General features: G+C 40.8%; 1 protein-coding gene, 2 long non-coding RNA genes and 1 pseudogene across 13 annotated transcripts in view; 2 read left to right on the forward strand and 2 right to left on the reverse strand.

Annotated features, from left to right (window-relative positions):
• The window catches only part of HDAC2-AS2 (HDAC2 and HS3ST5 antisense RNA 2), a 371,029-nt gene extending 361,467 nt beyond the window's left edge, over nucleotides 1-9,562 (forward strand). The window contains exon 10 of the long non-coding RNA NR_125845.1: nucleotides 9,355-9,562. This is a non-coding gene — a long non-coding RNA (HDAC2 and HS3ST5 antisense RNA 2). The remainder of the gene's footprint in view (nucleotides 1-9,354) is intronic.
• HS3ST5 (heparan sulfate-glucosamine 3-sulfotransferase 5) overlaps nucleotides 1-11,856 on the reverse strand; it is a 287,428-nt gene extending 275,572 nt beyond the window's left edge. For 6 of the 10 annotated variants that reach the window (NM_001387040.1, NM_001387046.1, NM_001387041.1 and 3 more), the window contains exon 1: nucleotides 11,028-11,856. The gene's annotated coding sequence lies outside the window, so the exon portion shown is untranslated. Of the gene's footprint in view, nucleotides 1-10,204 lie in introns of all 10 variants that reach the window. The other 4 variants (NM_001387039.1, NM_001387043.1, NM_001387042.1 and 1 more) reach the window with 1 other exon arrangement.
• LOC107986638 (uncharacterized) overlaps nucleotides 11,158-19,800 on the forward strand; it is a 131,875-nt gene continuing 123,232 nt past the window's right edge. For both annotated transcript variants that reach the window (XR_002956366.2, XR_002956367.1), the window contains exon 1: nucleotides 11,158-11,222. This is a non-coding gene — a long non-coding RNA (uncharacterized LOC107986638). The remainder of the gene's footprint in view (nucleotides 11,223-19,800) is intronic.
• Nucleotides 18,319-19,490, reverse strand: DNAJA1P4 (DnaJ heat shock protein family (Hsp40) member A1 pseudogene 4; annotated as a pseudogene).

A 19,800-nucleotide genomic window follows, 5' to 3' on the forward strand; every position in this document is an offset into this window, starting at 1 on the left:
GATAATAAAACTAGGCCCTTTCTTAGGGCAATGGAATTATTGGTAATCAGAAAGCTACTAAAGTCAGAGAAAGAAGTTAAGGTGTCTTTTAAAACAGGATATAGTTACATCTTCAAAATAGTTTAAGAATTTCAAAGTAAATTTATAACTAAAAGTACAGAGAATTAATTTGGTTCTACTTTTTTATTGCTCAAGATTTTCTCTCACTTTAAGACAGGAAATGGGAATATAATATACACATAATTAGGGAATATTAATTAAAATATTTTTATGTACTTTAGAGGAAAGCAAAGAACATAATATTTAATTACTACTTTGTTTTTAACTTCAGGAATCATATACAAGAAGTCACCTAAAATGGTCTAGTTTATTCAGTAAATTAAATATGTCAATGTCTTTAGAGAATAGTGTATTATATTTTATATATTTTGAAGGTAATATTACATTTTACATGTTATATTTTTGAAACTAATTTCTTATTTTACTTGCATATATAATTACTTACCAGGGGATGACCATGCACATCTAAAAAAAGAGTTGCTTCCAAATGTTTGCCATTAAATGTATTAATCTACAGGTCATTTCTATTTATTTAGTACTAGAGACACATCTGTAGTGTGATTACCATACGTTGTTCGCTAATCTTCTGATCTTATTAAGTTTTCCATTTTGGTCATGGTAAAAGAATTTAATTTCATACTTATTTCCATTCTTAAAAGAGAACTCAGACTTTTAAATCTCATTAAGTGGCTACTAATAATTGGTTAAATATAAGTCCTCTGCTTTGTAGAGAAAAATGAACTTAAATAATATGATTATTAGATATAATTTAAAAAATTTAAATAAAAGAAAACCTCAGAAATGAGCTCATGGACTATTACAGAACTTTTTGAAGGTTTCTTGGTCTGCAAGTAGAAAATGAAAATAAAAATGGCCTAATTCTCTATAGACTATTATTACAGAAATGGAGACCTAAATCATCTCTTAAAAATTATTATAATCATATTGACAGATGGATGCTTACTTCTAGGCAGTTAGAATACTAGAGAAAAATAGGTAGTAGGGGGTTAGGGCAGGACAAAGGGGTGGAGTTTTCCCTGCTCCACCAGGCACATTGTCCCCATTTTCTTATATCGTGCCCTCACTATGCGTTTTCTCCATCATCTAGCACACTCGATACTGTTTGTTTCGTTGAAAGTTGGGTTGCCCTTGGGCTTACAAGTTCTTTGATAACTTGTAATATAAAGACTAATAAAGTAATCATATTCTCAGATCCAGCACACTGCCTGACACACAGTACCTGTTCAATGTATACTGAAATAAGTTCAGCGAGTAAGAAAGGCATAAAAAAGTCAGACACAGGGAGAGTTAAGATGATTATTTCTCCTATCAAAATGTATTTAGTGCTTCCTATATAATCCAGACACTATGCTAGGCACTGGAGATATAGGTACTGTTGGGGGTGGCGAGAGAGTGTGTGTCTATGTGTGTGCGTGACAGGGGAATAACATTAACTCAATAGAGTATGATCTGTACTACCAAACAGAGAAGCAGAAAGATAGCCCATCCTGGCTTGGGTGGAGGTGGGTGAGCTACATAGAAAAGGGGCAAGAAAACAAAGAGAGGTAGTGTGGAAGATAAGAGGTTAGACAAGCAGAGAACCCTTAGGGAGAGGGATCAGCATATAGAAAGGAATGAAGTATGAGGGAGCATGGTCCATTCCTTCCCTGGAGTCACCCAATTGTAAGGACCTTGCAGAGGAGTGACAGAAGTTGAGTCCCAGGCTGGTCCACTGGAATAGTAAGGGCTTTGTAGGTTGAGCTAGTTTGAACTCTACCCTGAAGGTAAGGGATGCTGCAGGTTAGTAAGCAAGTGAACTGCATGATCAGATTTGTAGTCAGAAAAAAAATCAAGCATTGAAGAGGATGGAGATCCAAGGCTTATTAGGAGGCTACTATGATTCAGGTGAGAAGTTCCAATGGCCTGAACTTAAGGAATAGCACTGGGGCTGGTGAGATAGGTAGTGTTCAGGAAGCAGGATTGTCACATCTTGGTGACAGACTACAAGTGGGAGGAGATGATCTTGAGGTACCTATGTTCCTGCTATGATCTTTATGACAAACTATTCTTAGTTTCTCACTTTTCTTGGATGTCTGCGCAGATGATACTGCCAATACAGAAGAGCAAAATAACATAAAGTATTTGAGAAGAGGTAACCTTAAAAAAGTAATGGTGTATAAAAATTTTCAAGCACTTGATCTTTTTGTTGGTAGTATACAGTTGGAAGCCCTTATTTAAAGAATGCTAATATTTGTGGAATTCAGAAACTCCCAAAGTAAATGCTGCTATAAATAACCCTTAACTCACTGGCAATCCATTTCAGAATGGACAGGGTATGAAGATAAGATAAACAACCGATTAAGAAAAAATAATTATATTCAGAGAAAATCTGAAAATATTATGGCTAATATATATATTTTTTTAAAATTTTTTTTTGATACAGAGTCTTGCTCTGTCTCCCAGGCTGGAGTGCAGTGACACGATCTCGGATCACTGCAAGCTCCGTCTCCCGGGTTTACGTATTACGGCTAATATTTTTAAAGATTTTATGATGTGCCAGGCACATCTATCAAGACAATGGGAATAATGTTCTTCACTTTAAAGAGTCAGATATCAGAGCTAAGTTGGTATCACACATCTAGTCTAGATTTGGAAACAGAGGAATTGAACCATAGTTAAGTAAAAATAAAATGGAAAGAAGTATCTCCCAGCTACCCAAGCATCTGCAAGCCCATCAGTCCCACATACAACCTTGTACCCGTCTTGTGCTCTGCCTCTGCCCAGTTTCCCCAGGTCCTCCTGTCTGGGTGCCTCAGCTCTCTGCTTCTGAAGTTCTGAGTGCCCACACTAAGGAGCTCTGTGTCTGCACCATTAAACCATGTGCCAAGTACCACGGAAATAGGGATGAAAAGAATACAATCCCTGTCCCTGAGAAGCACTCAAGTCAGGTGAGCAAGACAACAGTCCTTGAGCCTTTTCTGGATGTTTTCAAGGGTGCGAGGGGACCTTTCAGATCTGCAGGAACCCTAGAGTTCCCCGTGGCAAGCTTTTCCAATTCTCCATGCTGCATCCCTGGGAAAAAGGCTCTTTTCCAGTGCCCTCTCATCCTATATTGTTGCATTCAGCTCAGAAAAAGTGAGCCAAATAGAAACTTTAGGTCACAGACAGCTAGCTCACCAGATGAGGACATTCCATTTGCATAAAATGTCAGTTCCCACTACTGCCTACAGAGTGTGAGTGCAACTGCAGTCATGTACTGCATAACATCGTTTCGGCCAATGACACACCACATAAACAACAGTGGTCTTGTTAGATTACACTATTATGTCTTTACTGTACCTTTTCTATGTTTAGATACACAAATCCTTAACATTGTATTACGACTGCTTACAGTATTCAGTATAGTCACATGCTATACAGGTTTGAAGCCTAGAGATGATAGGCTATATCATATATCCTAAGTGTGTACCAGGCTATACCATCCAGGTTTGTATAAGTACACTTTATGATGTTCACACAATGACAAAATCAGCTAACAATGCATATCCCAGAATGTATCTCCATTGTCAAGTGACAAATTACTGTATTTAGAAGGATTTTGGCAGACTTATTTAAGTCTATTTTAAAATCGATTCAATTGTTTGCTAAAAATTAATGTTATCTAATTCTTTGTTCTAGTGGCCATTGCATATACATATGAAAAGTATGTACACAAAGTCAAGAAATTGAGCCTTATTGAAATTAAATTACTCTTTTGTTCATTGCAAGGAAGATACAGGAAAGTAGGGAGGCATGGGTTTTAAGGCCCAGAAATCCACAGAAAATACTTGGGGGCTAACTGTAACTAAGAAGCCCATTAGTGTGAGGGTTAAATATGGGCTTCAGAGACAGATGGTGTGGGTGAGGATCATGGCTCCACCCCTTTAGCTCTGGGTCCTTCCTGGGCCTCAATTACCTCATCTGTGAAATGGAAATACTAACGGCATATGTCCCAATGAATGCTTTGTAAGGGCAAAATGTATAAAGACCTATACTGCTTGATACATAGTAAATATCAACTACCAGAATTAAATGAGTGGCAAAAAAAAAAAAAAAATCTAAGAATAGAATTAAACTTGATCTCTTAAGTCAAGTTATTCACATTTAGTGACCAGAGTTAGGAAATAGCTTTTCCCTTTATACACTGAGTTCTATAAGGTATGAAATATAAAGATGTCAGAAGAAATTTGTGTAACCTAAAGTTTTCAACTCATATCAGATATAAAGACAAATATAAATATTTCAATTCCATAGCAAAAACTTTCATTCTTTTCCATTTACTACATCTGGATAAGAGGATACACATTCCAAAGAATCAAGTGAACTTATAAAGCGAGGCCTTGCAAATAAGAACAATGAATTAGCTGTCCCAAAAGCCTCCTCTTTTTTTTTTTTCTTTTTTTAAATTAGACGGAATCTCACTCTGTTGCCAGGCTGGAGTGCAGTGGTGCAATCTCGGCTCACTGCAACCTCCATTTCCCGGGTTCAAGAGATTCTCCTGCATCAGCCTCCTGAGTAGCTGGGATACAGGCATGCACCACCATGCCCAGCTAATTTTTGTATTTTTAGTAGAGACAGGGTTTCACCATGTTGGCCAGGATGGTCTTGATCTCTTGACCTTGTGATCTACCCGCTTCGGCCTCCCAAAGTGCTGGGATTACAGGCGTGAGCCACCGCGCCCGGCCCCAAAAGCCTCCTTTTAATTTCTGTGTTCAGCATAGGCCTTTAAATCTGGTATTACTTTAATCAAGCTTAAGTCTTAAAACACATAATTCTTTCTTCATACACTTCCATCAAGAGTAAGAGAACCCATGTTTTAAAATGGAGAACCATGTATTCAAATACACATAATGAGCATGTTGTGCCCATTATGTTTAATCATCTATGATGATGGTATGTTGATGTTAAAGATGGTGGTGATGACAGCAGTATCAATTACTACTTTCTGAATTTTTACTATGTATGACACTCAATGCTAAGTATTTTACATAGATTATCATATGGATATCAATGAAGTGGTATTTCCATTACCATATAATAGATAAAATTACTAAGAATTTGGCCTGGTGCAGTGGCTCACGCCGGTAATCCCACCACTTTGGGAGGCCGAGGTGAGCAGATCACTTGAGGCCAGGAGTTCAGACCAGTCTGGCCAACATGGCAAAACCCTGTCTCTACTAAAAATACAAAAATCAGGTGGGCATGGTGGCACATGCCTGTAGTCCCAGCTGCTCAGGAGGCTGAGGCACGAAATCACTTGAACCCAAGAGGAGGAGGCTGCAGTGAGCCAAGATTGTGCCGCTGCACTGCAGCCTGGGTGACAGAGCGTGAGTCCAACTCAAATAATAATAATAATAATAATTAATTAATTAAATTACTAAGAACTATAAGAATGAAGTAACTTGCCCAAGACACCATAGTTAATAAGCAGTAAAGCAGGGATTTTAATTCAGCCAACTCTGTCTGACTATAGTACTTACACTCCAATGAATACTTCATTTATGTTGAGGCATGTTCAGAATTATTGTGATTTTTTTCATTGACTTGAGTTAGTTAGCTATGGCAGAGAGCATTACAGTGACATTTTAATATGTTCTTGAATAGTTCCCCAAACTATACTCAAATAGTAAGATTGTTAATATTTATGATAGAACAGTTGTGGTACCTCATTAGCAGTTTAAAGATTCTGTTACTTCATGTTAATTATGCCTTGTATGCCTTTTTAAAATAAAAAGTACAATTACAGGCATTCTTCCTTTTGTCTACTCCTAAACTTAAACATTTAAACCTGTTTATTATTTCACACTTCTTACACCATCCTTCTCCTTTCTATCTCAGGCCATTCCATCTCATAAAAGTTATTATTCCACAAGGTTTCATAGATAGTAATGTCCTGAGATCATCATGACAAAATAAAATGTCTATTCAGTATTAAATCACATCTTAAAACTGTGCAATTATAAAGACACTTGAAGCCTTTTTTTTAACCTCTGGAGAAGCAACATGTGGAATGCTCTGCTTCAGTACATGCAGTAAATATTAATGGGATGCCAACTGTGTGTATCCAAGTCTGAGCAGAATAAGTCTTCTCACTTCACACCTTCTATAAAACTCAGATTCCTTTGGCAAGTACTATACACCGTAGTAACACAACATTGACCTCTGTGCAAGAGGTTCACATTATAAGGATATCATGGGAAGCATAAAACATTCAGTATCAGATTCTCTGAGCTATTAAAACTACTTAAATATGGCATCGGTTCTTAAAGTTACCTAATTTAAAAGTAGCTGAACCTTTGGAAATTATTGAGTCCATTAAAAACTACATTAAGTTACAGCACTATGCTCAAGGACCGCTGTGGTTCAGGTTATGTCACGGCTTCATTACAATTGCCTTCCTTATGAATTTCAGAAGAATTCACTAGAAGTTGAAAATTATCATAAATCTCAGTTGCTAGAATCTATTTGCTTTACATCTAACTTGCTCCCCACTGGGCCCTCTATTTAAGTAAACTTAAAAAAAAAATCTATTCAAGAGCAGAGTAGACTACCTGGACTCAAATGCCAATTCTGCCATATAGTAGCTGCAGAGCTTGAGTCATTTATTTAGGTTCATAAACCCTCACCTTCCTCAACTCCTAAATGGCAGTAAAAATGATAACATCAATGAAAAATAAAATAATAGCAGCTGTACCTACTTATTTTCCCTCTGTAAAATGGGAAATGACAGGAGAGCTACCAGAATTAAATGAGTTAATATGAGTAGAGCTCTTTGGACATTGTCAGGCACATAATAAAATTTATTGCAAGTGTTTCTTAAATAAATTATTTAAAAAAAGTATCATACTCCATATTTTCAATATCAAACTAGTAGAGCATTTATGAGTATCATTCTCAAAGTGATGCTGACTTCACAAACCATGTATGGCACAAAGGGATTCTATTCCTGTTGTACAAGGTTATTAAAAAACAGATATATACATAAACAGAAACATAAATATATACTATTTACATATGTACAATGTATATATACATACACATTGTGTATATATATACATACATATACATAAATATATGTATATGTAAATAAATATAAATAAAATTTACCTCCCCCATGCAGAGTCAAGTTAGGCAAAGTGGTCTAAAGTCAAATAAACTCTTCAACCATTTCTTAATATGGACATAGCTTTCCTTCATAAAACTTCAAGAAGAAGAAAAATAATCTACTGGACCAATGCCAATTAATAGTAAGACACCATAATGGAACTTCCATATGAGATTTAGAGAGGTTCATTTATCCTATCTACATTATATGAATTTCCATATGTAATCTTTTACTCTACTTTTGATAAGGGTTAGCTACTATGAAATGTTTTTTACTTAGATTGGTGACTTTTAAATGAAGTTACTAATATCTTGCTTTAATTGCACTTCTGCTTAAAGGTTAAGATAACATTAAAACTCAGAAACAAACATTGATTCCAGAGGCAGCAAAATTTGTCAACAATTAAATTAGATACCAGAAAATATATACAAAAGGTTACATTTTTGCTAACTTGAAACAATTAATGTTGAATTCACAGAAAGCCTAAAATACAGGATTTTTCTGAATGGTAACAGTTTAATTTATAATGAAAAGTTTAACTAGGTATTTTTGTTTTGAGCTCCCCTCACCAAAAAATGGAAAGGATTTAAATGATTTGAAATCTATGGCTTAAACAATTTCCTTAACTTGACTTGTTCTCTCTTTTAAGCTATTCACCTGTACTTAAAATAAACTATTATTCCATTACCAAATAATAAGTCTTCACTTAATTGCAATCATCTCAGAATATGAAAATATTGGGATAAAGTATTTAGAAATCCAAAAAATTCATCCATATAAAAACCAATGAAATATAGAAATATTCACATAATTTCAATGTTCAAACACAACTCTAGTGTTACTGCTCATACTCTATTCCCAAATTGGAATCATTTTTAGTAAGCATTCTCTCCTCCACTAGCCCCTTTTACTAGGAAGTTACCTTGAGAATTATTTTATTCATGAAATGAGGGTGCCTACAATAAATAGACCATCCTGCTAGACATGTCAAGAGCATCAAATAAAATTCACTTCAACTAAAATTTCCATAAGACATTTCCCCTTTTCTAAAAAATCCTAAATAACTACTTTTGTTAACTTGTTCATTTATATATAATTGCTTTTTTAAAAAACGTTACTGTTTCTGAGATTGTAAAAATAAAGAGACGGTAAGATTTAGGAGCAAAATATTTCTTGTGTTCTATGAATGCGAATTCACTTTTTCAGTGCAACAAGAATATTTGCATTTACTCATAAATGAATACTAATGACAAATTCAGAGCTGGCATTACTCCATAGAAATCACACACAGAAAGCCAGAGCTAGAAATCATACAGTGCACAGATAGTTATATTACTCTAAAGTATTCAGACAAAGAGCAAGGAGATTAGAGTCAACATCAATTCTCTGAAGTTGAGTCACATCTTAACGACATGGTGGGATAAGGATAATTGTAGAATTTAGGAGGGAAACAAAGTTGGCTGGTTAATATCTTATGTGATTTCTGAGTCAACAGCTCTTTGTTGACCACCTACTCTGGGCAAGATGCTGCTTCCCTAAGTAAGCCACTGCTCTACAGTTCTATTTACACTGTGTAGGAGTAAGCTTCCTGCTTCTACCAGAAATCCTCCCTTTTTGTTTAAAATAACAACCCAGCTCAACTTTGCATATTGTGTGTGTTCATGTGCTCAATAAATACTTTTTGAATGAGTGAAAATTCAGTGAGTAAGAAGGTTATTCATTCAAAAACATCTGTGTATGCCGGCAAAAATGGTGAGGACAATGATAAAAGCATAATGAAAACACTGGGCAACACCTCCTCACAAAGATGTCAAAGGGAGCAACTTCAAATGTTAAAATTTAAGCATGAGCTCTGGCTCAACCTAGAAACCAGGATCCCAGTACTTGCTGTAATACTCCATTGAATATTGTGCTCATAATTTCCCATGTAATTTGCTTACATACCTATTTGAAAATATTTTTCTCAAGTAATGATGTTTCTATATGTTTTATTAATTGAAAAAAGAGTGTTTCTAAAAGGCCAGAGTAGCTTGGGAGAGGCCAAAGCAGTTTTCTTTTTCACTGTTAAAACACTGGAGGCGGTTAAATTTAAGCAACAGTTTCCTTCCCATTGCTATGTGTCTTGTAATATCTTCTTGTGTCTCCATCAGTTCACTGGTGAATAACTTCATATTCCTGAAGTTAAGAAGCCTGCCCTGATGCTCATGCAGTTACTTTGAGCAATGACCAAACAGAGAGAGGAAGGTAAGTAGTATTGTTTTCATTTCTTTAAAAACTTCACTAGGAGGAAACCCCAAGGTAACAATGACAACAACAAAAATCTATTGCAACATAATTGATAGCAATAAAACCTTTTTTAAAAAATAATCATTTTTGATATTCATATTTGTAATCCCCTTTTATTATCTTCAACTTTTTCTTGAAAAGACCTTAATATATTTGAAATAAATTATAATGTGTAATTTGTCTAAAGCTCTGAAATATGTAGAAACTACTAAGTAAAACCTTTGAGAAGCACCAGCTGTTTATTACTTCTAGCAAATCAGTTTAGAAAGGAGCATTAGCACAGAAAGAAGGCCCACCCACCCACTTTCGCCCCCACCCAACCCGACCCTGCATGCTATTTATCAGACCAAGTTTACATAAATCAGAGAAGAGTTACAGTGCTATTAAATGTATCCACGAAGTAATATGACATAAAGCACTTTGCAAATATTAAATCTCTCCCCAGTGTTTTCTAAGAAGAAACTGGTATTCGTATTCGGAGACAGAGAGGAGAGGGGGAGAGAGGGGAGGGAGGGAGGGAGAGGGAGAGGGAGAGGGAGAGGGAGAGGGAATAGGGAGAGAGGGGGAGAGAGAGAGAGAGAGAGAGAGAGAGAGAGAGAGAGAGTGAGTCCCACCGGGTGAAGACAGGGTAGACCACGAATGTGAGCATCAGCTCCCTTGGGTGGGTGCCCTGAAGCACTGAAGTAGGGAAGCGGAAGAGTAGAGGAAACCCACCAAGGTGAAGTGACTCCGGAGTTGTTTGTTTGCTGGGCGCTTGGAACCTCCAGGTAAAGACATCCACCTTAAGCTGGACGCTCCTTGCAGGTTGCCCTAAACCAAGGTGGTCGCCCAAGTAACAGGAGCAGGAGTCTCAGCGCTCCAGTGAGTAGCGACAGCGACCTCTCAGACTTGTTTGTAGTAACAGTATGACCACCCTTCGACTGCATCCATCCCGCGCGCGCGCGCGCGTGTGTGTTGGGTGGGAAGAGATGCATAAAGTGGGGCTGTGAGGGGTGTGGGGGGGGCCAGCTGGGAAGAGAAAACCCCACCCACATGTTAACTTAGCCTTTGCCTGTTCTTTGCCTGCCCTCTGCCTGTCCTCTGCTGGGGCCTCGCAGGCCCCCACTGTCCCAAAGCTGCCCTCGCGCTCCAAACAGCTCCACAGCCACCCCAGAAGTGACCGAACGCGAACCCCTAAACTCTGGCGAGCGCAGTAAACGCGTGTTCCCTTTCTCCCTCAAAGAGAGCGCTACCCAGCGCTCTGGGAGAGACTGAGAGAGAAACAGACAGGCAGGCTGACTGACACCTTCTGTCTAATTTTACCCCAGGAATTGCCCCCGCCGTTTCTCATCTCGCACTAGTTTAACCTCTGGTCCTAAGCAAACCTCTCAAAAGTCTTCCCCAGGCAGCGCCCAGGAGAACCGAACCCCACAAAGTGCTTTTTTGCTGGCATCACCCGGATGCTTCCCTTTGGCGATTTGCCCCTTCTCATTTCCCCCCAAATCTAGAGGTCTCAAAGCCCCTCCCCCGCGCGAGGCGGGCAGCGCGCCTTGCTCACCGTGGTCCCCGGCGGTGGCGGCGCGGGCGGGAGCCTCAGGGCGCGGGGGTCGGCGGCGGGTCGCGTGGGGGTCACCCGGCCGCTGCTGCGGTCCGGACGGCAGTTGGTCCAGTAGTTTCGGATGCCCGGGCTAGGCTCGGCGGAGAGCGAGTCGGCGTGAATGAGAGCAAACCAACAGGGCTGTGCGTGGCGCGTGTGAGTAAGACGCGAGCGGGCCCCACACGCAGGCGGCGGCGGCGGCGGCGGCGGCGGCGAGGTCTGAGGCGGGGAGCCGGGCGGGGGGGCAGGCGGGCGAGAAGTAGTGGAGTTTAGGGCGCGTTTCCTGCACTTCCCCGAGAGGCTGGAACCAGGTGCGGCAGGGCGCGCTCCCGTGGCGCGGGCACGGCACGGGCGGCCGCAGGAGCCGGAGTCCGCGCAGTGCCGGAGACCGCAGCCGCTCTGCGGGGGGAGGTGCGCATCCTCCTTGCCCCACGAGGGCACCGGCGCAGCCCCGGACCCTGCGCGCAGAGGGCGAGACTTCGGGCGTCCTCGGTGACAGCTCCTCGGGCAGCCCGCTCCCTCCCAATCCGCCCAAAAGAGCAACACTCAGTGTGACTGGGATCTTCCCTTCCTGCGTCCTCGAGCCTCCGGTGCCAAGCTGTGCGGGCGCCCCGCTCCCCGCGGCTGGCGCTGTCACGGCCGCCGCCCGGCCCCCAGAGCGCCCGAGCCGGCAGCTGCCTCCCGGAGACGTGCCCAGCTGTGTGCGCGTGTGTGTGTCTAAGCGAATCTCTTCCCCTCCATCACTTGGGCGCGCAGGAGGGACCGGGTCCCTGGCGACCAGCTGCAGAGTGGCTGCCAGTCCACACCCTCCCGGCTCTCTCCCCACCCACCCCGCCCCTACTCCTCCTCGCCTTCCCCTCCTCCCCGTGCTCCTCCTCCAGCTGCCGCTCCCGAGCTCCCAAAGGCAGCGGAGAAACCGCAGCGAAAGGGAGGAGGAGGAGGGTGGGGAAGGAAGCGCAGGTGTCTTCGGCGGAGAGACGGGCGCACGCACCGGAGCGGCTTGCTGCAGGGGGAGGGCAGGGCCTTAGGCGGAGAAAGGGGAGGAGGAGGATTTACCCGGAGGCGGAGGTCCCGCAGCTGAGCCACTGCGCGTCCCACCCAGGCGCTGGAACCGCGGGCGAGCAGCGCAGTGGGGCTGCCGGGTGGGCGCGCAGGGCTCCCAGTTGGACTGAGGTCGCAGCTTGGGGAACCTGCGGAGGTGACCAGGGTGGCAGAACTCGGGGACACAGAGGTCGGAGGGACCCAATTGCTGAGGCGCTGAGACCGGTCTCTCTGGGGTGAGGGGGATGCCTAGACCCAGAGCTTGGGGCACACAGGTGTCCAGGAAGCTGGTGTGTGTGGCTCCAGAGTGCCAGGCGGGAGAGCCGGAGGCGGTGAAGGGTCGGGCGGCGGCCGCGGCGTGCTTGGGGCTGCTGTGTGCATCCGGAGTCACAGGGGGCGATCACCGCCTAGCTGGGAAGCGGAGCTCAGGACTCAGCCTTCTTTCAGGTCCCAAGTCCAAAAGCCGAGAGGCACACTAGCCTTCCCAATTTAGTCTGTGTTCCTCCAACCCTTTGCCCCCAGCAAAACAACAGGCCAGGAGCTGATTCTACCTGCTACTTACTGTGCTCTTTACCGGACTGAAAGGACTCTACTGCTCCAAGGAGACTGATGTGTTGCTTCCTCTCTCCCAACTCTAGTCCCCTCCCTCAACATACATTCCTACCCAACCAAAATTATCCAGAACATTGTATTTCTCATTGATAAACTTTTTCCCTCTGGGGTTCCCTAAAAATGAAAATCTTTCCTCCCTTTTTATCTGTAGAGGCATTAAGTCTCTTGCTTACATTTCATAGTACAAATGCAGTACACAGAAAAGTCCTTTAGGCAAGAAATCACAGCATTATTGCTTATGACGGCTTGTCTGTTTTCAAATGACAGTCGCAGAATGCAAATTTGTGTCAACCTGAGGTCAGTGGAGAGAGTTGGTCCATTTAATTAGAGGTATTTTGGAAGGAATCTGGGAAACAACACTAGAAAGAATTGCTGTACTTTCTCCAGTACCCATTCCTTTTTATTATGGTAATTTCACTCTGTTAATTTAGGCAATCTGAAAATGAAAGGTCGGATGCAATTTACAAGGCACAATATTTCTAGATTCTCATTCAACAGCCCGCCCCACCTCCTTCCTCCCACCACTCTTACCATCACCTCAAAAGGTCATGAGCTAAGAACCGAAACTGCACTTTTTAAATCTCAGGATATAGCCTGAATGACAAAGCTGTTGAGTTTTAGAAAGAGACCAGTTAAGTCTAAACTTATTTACCAACTACTCAGACAAAATCATATGCTCAGCAGCAACAATAAAATGTATACTGTGTAATATATTGAGCAGGAGGAAAGATGGCTGTTTGCCAGATATGTGATCCATTAACCTCTTTAGCTCATTGTTGGCAACAATAGCATACAATCACATTCCTATGTTTGAAAGACAAGAGATTTTTTTTTCCCATCTTAAAATCACAATGCCACATTATAGTCTAAAAGAAACCTCAAACAATAAAAGTAATAAGAAAGGAAGAAACATGGTTTGTTTTTTTTCTGAACAAATGTTGCTGTTCTGTTTTTTTTTCTTGAGGGGAAAAATGCTGATAAGCAATAAAGTCCACAAAAGCATGACAATAGATTTTGAAGAATGCATCACTCCATCTATTAGTCCTTTCAATTAGTAAACTTTATTTAAAAGGTTTATTTATATTATCTTTTGATTGGTATTCAGTCTTTCTTTTGTGCCTGGAAGATGACTGAGAAGGAGGATGGGTGAGCTGAATCTGGTTTCTCATAATTCTGTCTTGCATCAGGTTTATGTCTGGCAGGAGAGGAATGCTCAGCAGCCTGTGCTTTCTCAGCAATCCTAACTTCTCCTCAGAGGATCCTTTGCTCTGTAGCTGATGGATTGTGAGATTGTCACAGTAATTTTGCCTACCTGCTACAGGGTCACACCTGGGGTTGGGAGCAGGTACGGTTCCAAAAACTGGGATGCAATGCTCTGGAAAGAGCTTTTACCTTGCCCAGGGTTGGAGGATTAGATGAAGGTGCATGAGCTTTTTTGTGTTGCTTTTCAACTTCTACAGATGACCTGGATTTTCTGCTAGGTGAAGTGTGGAGGTGGGTGGGTGTGGTCTAACATTTTAAGAAACATTTTGGTATTGTGGTAAATTAAACAAATAAAACTAAACACTAGACATAATGGTACACCCAAAAAATCTATTTGAAATACAGTTTTGAAAACAGTCACAGATTTATTGGTTTAGCTTAGTCATCTATGCCAAATAAAGTACACAGCAATGAAAACATTTGGTTAATTAGAGTGTTCATTTGGTAAAGAATATATTTTTTTTCCTGAACATCAGCATACTCTCTTGTCTCATAAAGATGTAACCATTAAATATTATTTGGGCCAGTGATGCTAGCTTATGTCTATAATCCCAGCAATTTGGGAGGAGAAGGTGGAAGGATCACTTGAGGCCAAGAGTTTGAGATCAGCCTGGGCAACATAACGAGACCCCTTCTCCACAAAAAATTAGAAAAAAAAAAAAAATTAGCTGGGCAGGGTAGTGTATGCCTGTAGTCTCACCCACTCTGGAGGCTGAGCCAGGAGGATCCCTTGAGCCCAGGAGTTTGAGGTTACAGTCATCCATGATCACACCACTGCACTGCAGCCTGAGCAGCAGAGCAAGGCTCTGTCTCCAAAATATAAGAAATATTATTTACTTTACAGCTTCAAATGGAGACTGCCCTCTCAGTAAAATATAGAAATGTTTGTCATTATGAAGAAATTGAGGGCAGCTGACTTACTTTCCAAAATCTATCTTTTTTTCTTTTAACCAGCCAATTGCTGACTTTCAATTGGTTTAGTAAATATTCATTGAAAGGGCCCTTCAGTCCAGGCACAGTGGCTCACACTTGTAATCCCAGCACTTTCGGAGGCTGAGGCAGAAGGACTGCTTGAGTCCACGAGTTTGAGGCCAGCCTGGGCAGCATGGAGAGATCCCATCTCTTCAAAAAAATTAAAAAATATATATGGGCTTGGTGTCACATGCCTGTAGTCCCAGCTACTCAGGAGGCTGAGGTGGGAGGGTTGCTTGAGCCCAGGAGGTCAAGGCTGCAGTGTGCTATGATTGTACCACACTCCAGCCTGGGCAACAGAACAGGATGCCATCTCAAAAAATTTAAAAAAGGAAAGAAAAGGGTCCTTCTATGTGCTACCACTGGAAACCAGAAGATGAATAGAAGAAGTCTCTGCTCTCATTGAGCGAGGTCAGTAATCGCTAGGGCTATCAAGTTGAACAAGGTTCATTTTATTATAAGGAAATATGCCCCTGTACCCACATCTCCATGCTCCATCACTGTATTTGGGTATCTCTTGTATGAAAATTGTGGTTTCTGTATTGTGCAATGCTGTGTTTAGTCATGAGAGACCTAAAAGTGTAAGGCCACGACTGATTGTAAGGGAAGCATTTCTCATGGAAGGAGTGGGTCCACAGACCAAATATCAAAAACTCCGAGGGTGGTAAAGAGGATTTGACCTCTCTCTAGGTCTAGACAAGTGCTGGCCAATAGAAATGCAATGTAAGACACAAATGTAAGCCACATATATAATCTAAAATGTTCTAGGAGCTTATTCAAAAACTTAAGAAACAGATGAAATTAATTTTAATGATATATTTCATTCAACTTAATATATCAAAAATATTATTTCAACATGTAATCAATATAGTTATCATTAATGAAATACTTTACTTTTTTTTTCATACTGTGGTAGAAAGAATGACTTCCTAAAGATGTTTGCACCCGAGTCTCTGGAACCTGTACATGTGTTACCTTACCTGGCAAAGGGATTTTGCAGATGTAATTAAGGTTAAAGACCTTAAAATAGGGGGATTATCCTGGATTGTCTGCATGGGTTCAATCTAATCACACGAGTTCTTTTTTTAAACAGCCAAATAATATTTTTGTATTACTAATTTTAACTATTTAAAATGAAAAGTTACATATTTTAATTAGTGAAAAGCCAATTCTTTGACCTAGGGAGAAAATGCCTGTAGTGACAAATGTTGAAAATGCTTTGTAATCAGTATACTAAGGAGACATTCATATATTTCAAGAATTGCTTAAATGCTGATATTTAAATGTAAGCATGTGACCATATGCTGACTTTAAAATATACAATTAAAGGTATTTATCACAGTTTGCTATACTCCCAGCATTAAGTACAGATACTTTGGAGCATAAATCAAATGGTTTAAAGTGAACCTGTAACATACCTAAGGAATACCTTCCCATATTGTACATGCAGATTACTTCTCCTCCATGTAAAGATCTCATCACTTTAAGTTCTAAGTTAAGTTTAACCCAGCTCTGTAAGTCACTACTTAGGGGCTCAGGATGGCCTAAAAAGAAGGAAAAAAGAATGTAACGAGGACTGATCGACAAGTTTTCTATATATATGTAACTATATATGATCTACATATGTTATATATGTACTATATTGTATAACATTAGTTATATGATATATAAACTATAAATATGATCATTTATGTTACTGATGCCATAGCTAAATTATGTATTATGCATCTTCAAATAAAAGTCGAAGCAATAGGGTAAATGCAGAAGCATCACAATGAGTTCCACTTAATACACATAACTATACAGACCAAGATTTCTGTTGGTACTTGAAATGGATCAAGTACATCTAGTGGACATTGACAGGTATCAGCAAAGATGGGCCATTACAATGGAGAAGCTTAGGAGGATGATGAACATCATGCCAGAGGTGGTGTTTAGCGTCAAACCTCTTAATAGTGCCAGTGAATAACACTCACTGCTGGTATTATATATGCAGTAGTGAATAAGTGAAGAACTATAACCATAATATGCTCACTTCTTGCTATTTCATTTTATCTTCTGATTACCAGTTAAATATAGTGGTCCCTTAGTATCCATGGGGGATTGGTTCCATGACCCTCCTGGGTACCAAAATCCAGATGTTCAAATAGTGTGCTATTTGCCTATAACACATCCACAACCTGCTATATACTTTTTTTTTTTTTTTTTTTGAGATGGAGTTTTGCTCTTGTTGCCCTGGCTGGAATGTAATGGCATGTTCTCAGCTCACCGAAACCTCCACCTCCTGGGTTCAAGTGATTCTCCTGCCTCAGCCTCCCGAGTAGCTGGGATTACAGGCATGTACCACCATGCCCGGCTAATTTTGTATTTTTTTAGTAGAGACAGGGTTTCTCCATATTGGTCAGGCTGGTCTCAAACTCACGACTTCAGATGATCCGCCCTCCTCAGCTTCCCAAAGTGCTGGGATTACAGGCGTGAGCCACCATGCCTGGCCAACCTGCTATATACTTTAAATCATCTTTAGATTACTTATAATACCTAATATAATGTAAATGCTATATAGTTACACTGTACTTTAAAAATTTTTATCTTTTTTATTGTTTTTTTTTTTTTAATATTTTAAATCTAGGGCTGGTTGAATTTGCTGATATGGAGGGCGAACCATACAGAGTTTTAATTTCAAAGTTTAACAATGAATGGCCATAAGTGGAGGTCGATACATATGCTTAGCATTTCAAGCTAAGCTTGCTCATAGACACATCTGAAATTAATTACAAGACATGACCTAACAAATGCTAGCGGAACTTTTCTTAAAAGTAATTTTTACAGATATTAGGCCAGGTGTGGTGGCTCATGCCTGTAATCCCAGCACTTTGGGAGGCCGAGGTGGGTGGATCATGAGGTCAGGAGACTGAGACCATCCTGGCTAACACGGTGAAACCCCGTCTCTACTAAAAATTAAAAAATTAGCCGGGCGTGGTGGCGGGCGCCTGTAGTCCCAGCTACTCGGGAGGCTGAGGCAGGAGAATGGTGTGAACCCGGGAGGCGGAGCTTGCGGTGAGCCGAGATCGTGCCACTGCACTCCAGCATGGGCGACAAAGCAAGACTCCGTCTCAAAAAAAAAAAAAAGTAATTTTTACAGATATTAAATGTCATCTTGCTCACTGATGTCAACATATATTTAGGGCAAAGTCAGAGCTTTTATATTTTCATTTATTATTCATTTAACTTTTAAAACACTACTATAATTGAGTATTAAAACAAAAACAATAGCAAGAAGTGAGCATATTATGGTTATAGTCCTTCACTTGTTCACTACTGCACATATAATACCAGCAGTGAGTGTTACTCACTGGCACCATTAAGAGGTTTGACACTGAACACCACCACTGGTATGATGTTCATCATCCTCCTAAGCTTCTCCATTGTAATTGCCCATCTTTGCTGATACCGGTCAATGTCCACCAGATGTACTTGATCCATTTCATCAGCGTCTTTTACTTCCTACCTCTTAGGCAGGAGTTATTCCAGCAAAGAGAGTTTATCAGGAGACAGAAAGGCATTCTCACGGAAGTAGGCCTTAAATTTGATGATTAGGTGATCCTTTTCATAGGATCTACAATAAACTGGCATGCCTTCATTTAGCGCACACTTAATATCTCTATGCTTGACAATCTGAGTTGGGGGATGAGAGGTGTTGACTGGGGTTTGGTTGTCAAGGGTGGATATTGGCTTTTGGAAGACATGCAGTGCTTCAATCAGTTTTATGTTCATACACATGAAAAGGTCTTCTGGTCGAATAAGAAAGTATGGTCCTTCTGATCTAAAACAATGATAATATCTCCTGGCTCCTGATCTCCTTCACCATGAAAGATATCTACTGTTCGTCTTTCACGCCTTTGTCATGAACTTGTAGAATCTTCTTCTCTCAAACTATCCTCCTTCCATTGCAACTTTTACATCTATCTTTAGGACTGATCTCCTCCCCATGGCTCTGGCATTCCATGCACACAGACTGAAATTCTTGAGCCATTCTAGGTCGTATCTGATGAATTCTTATTTGCATTCTAGTACTTCAGTGATTGGGACAGCACTCTACTGCCCCTTTCTTACCACCTTGGCCTACATACTTGCCACAAATCACATTATTTTATGGAGCTAATTTTCTTGTTGCACCATTAAATACATCTTCTGTGGTTACTGAGAGCTGATGCACAATATTTTTACCTCTTTTTCTCTCTGCATCCTTCCTCTTCCTTCAAATAACATATCAACGATGTCCATGAGGGAGCCAAAACTGCCACTCACTTCACCCTTTTTAATTGCCCACTCTCCTCTTTTCTCAAATAATTCAATTTTCTTTGCTTCAGAGAGCACTTCATAAGCTTGAGAAATCTGTTTACACTTCTGTTTGTTATTTGGATTCTCACCAGGGTAGTAATTCAAGACCAGTTTCCTGTAAGACTCTCTTAACTCTTCCTGGATGGCATTGGGTATCACCCACAAACCATTACAGTAAGTGGTTTCTTTCACCACTTTCTACAGCTGGCAAGGGGGCTAAGGCTGGTGTGTGGGAGCAAGAAGGAGTTTGGGCAGCTACCACTCCTCCACCTCTCACCAAGTGTTTTGGAAAGCTCCCTCACATGAGTTCTTAAAAGCAGAGAGTTTGTTCAGGCTGGAAGAAGAAGAGATATGACAGGAGAATTCAGAAAGAGTCAAAGCATGAGAAGGATTCAACATGTCCTTGCTGATTTGAAGATGGAGGGGACAGTGTGATAAGGAATGCATGTGGTCTTAAGGAGCTGAGTGGCTTCTGGCTGACAACCATGAAGGGAACAAGACTCCT

This window comes from Homo sapiens, chromosome 6, assembly GCF_000001405.40.
Source record: "Homo sapiens chromosome 6, GRCh38.p14 Primary Assembly".
NCBI classification, from domain to species: Eukaryota; Metazoa; Chordata; class Mammalia; order Primates; family Hominidae; genus Homo; species Homo sapiens.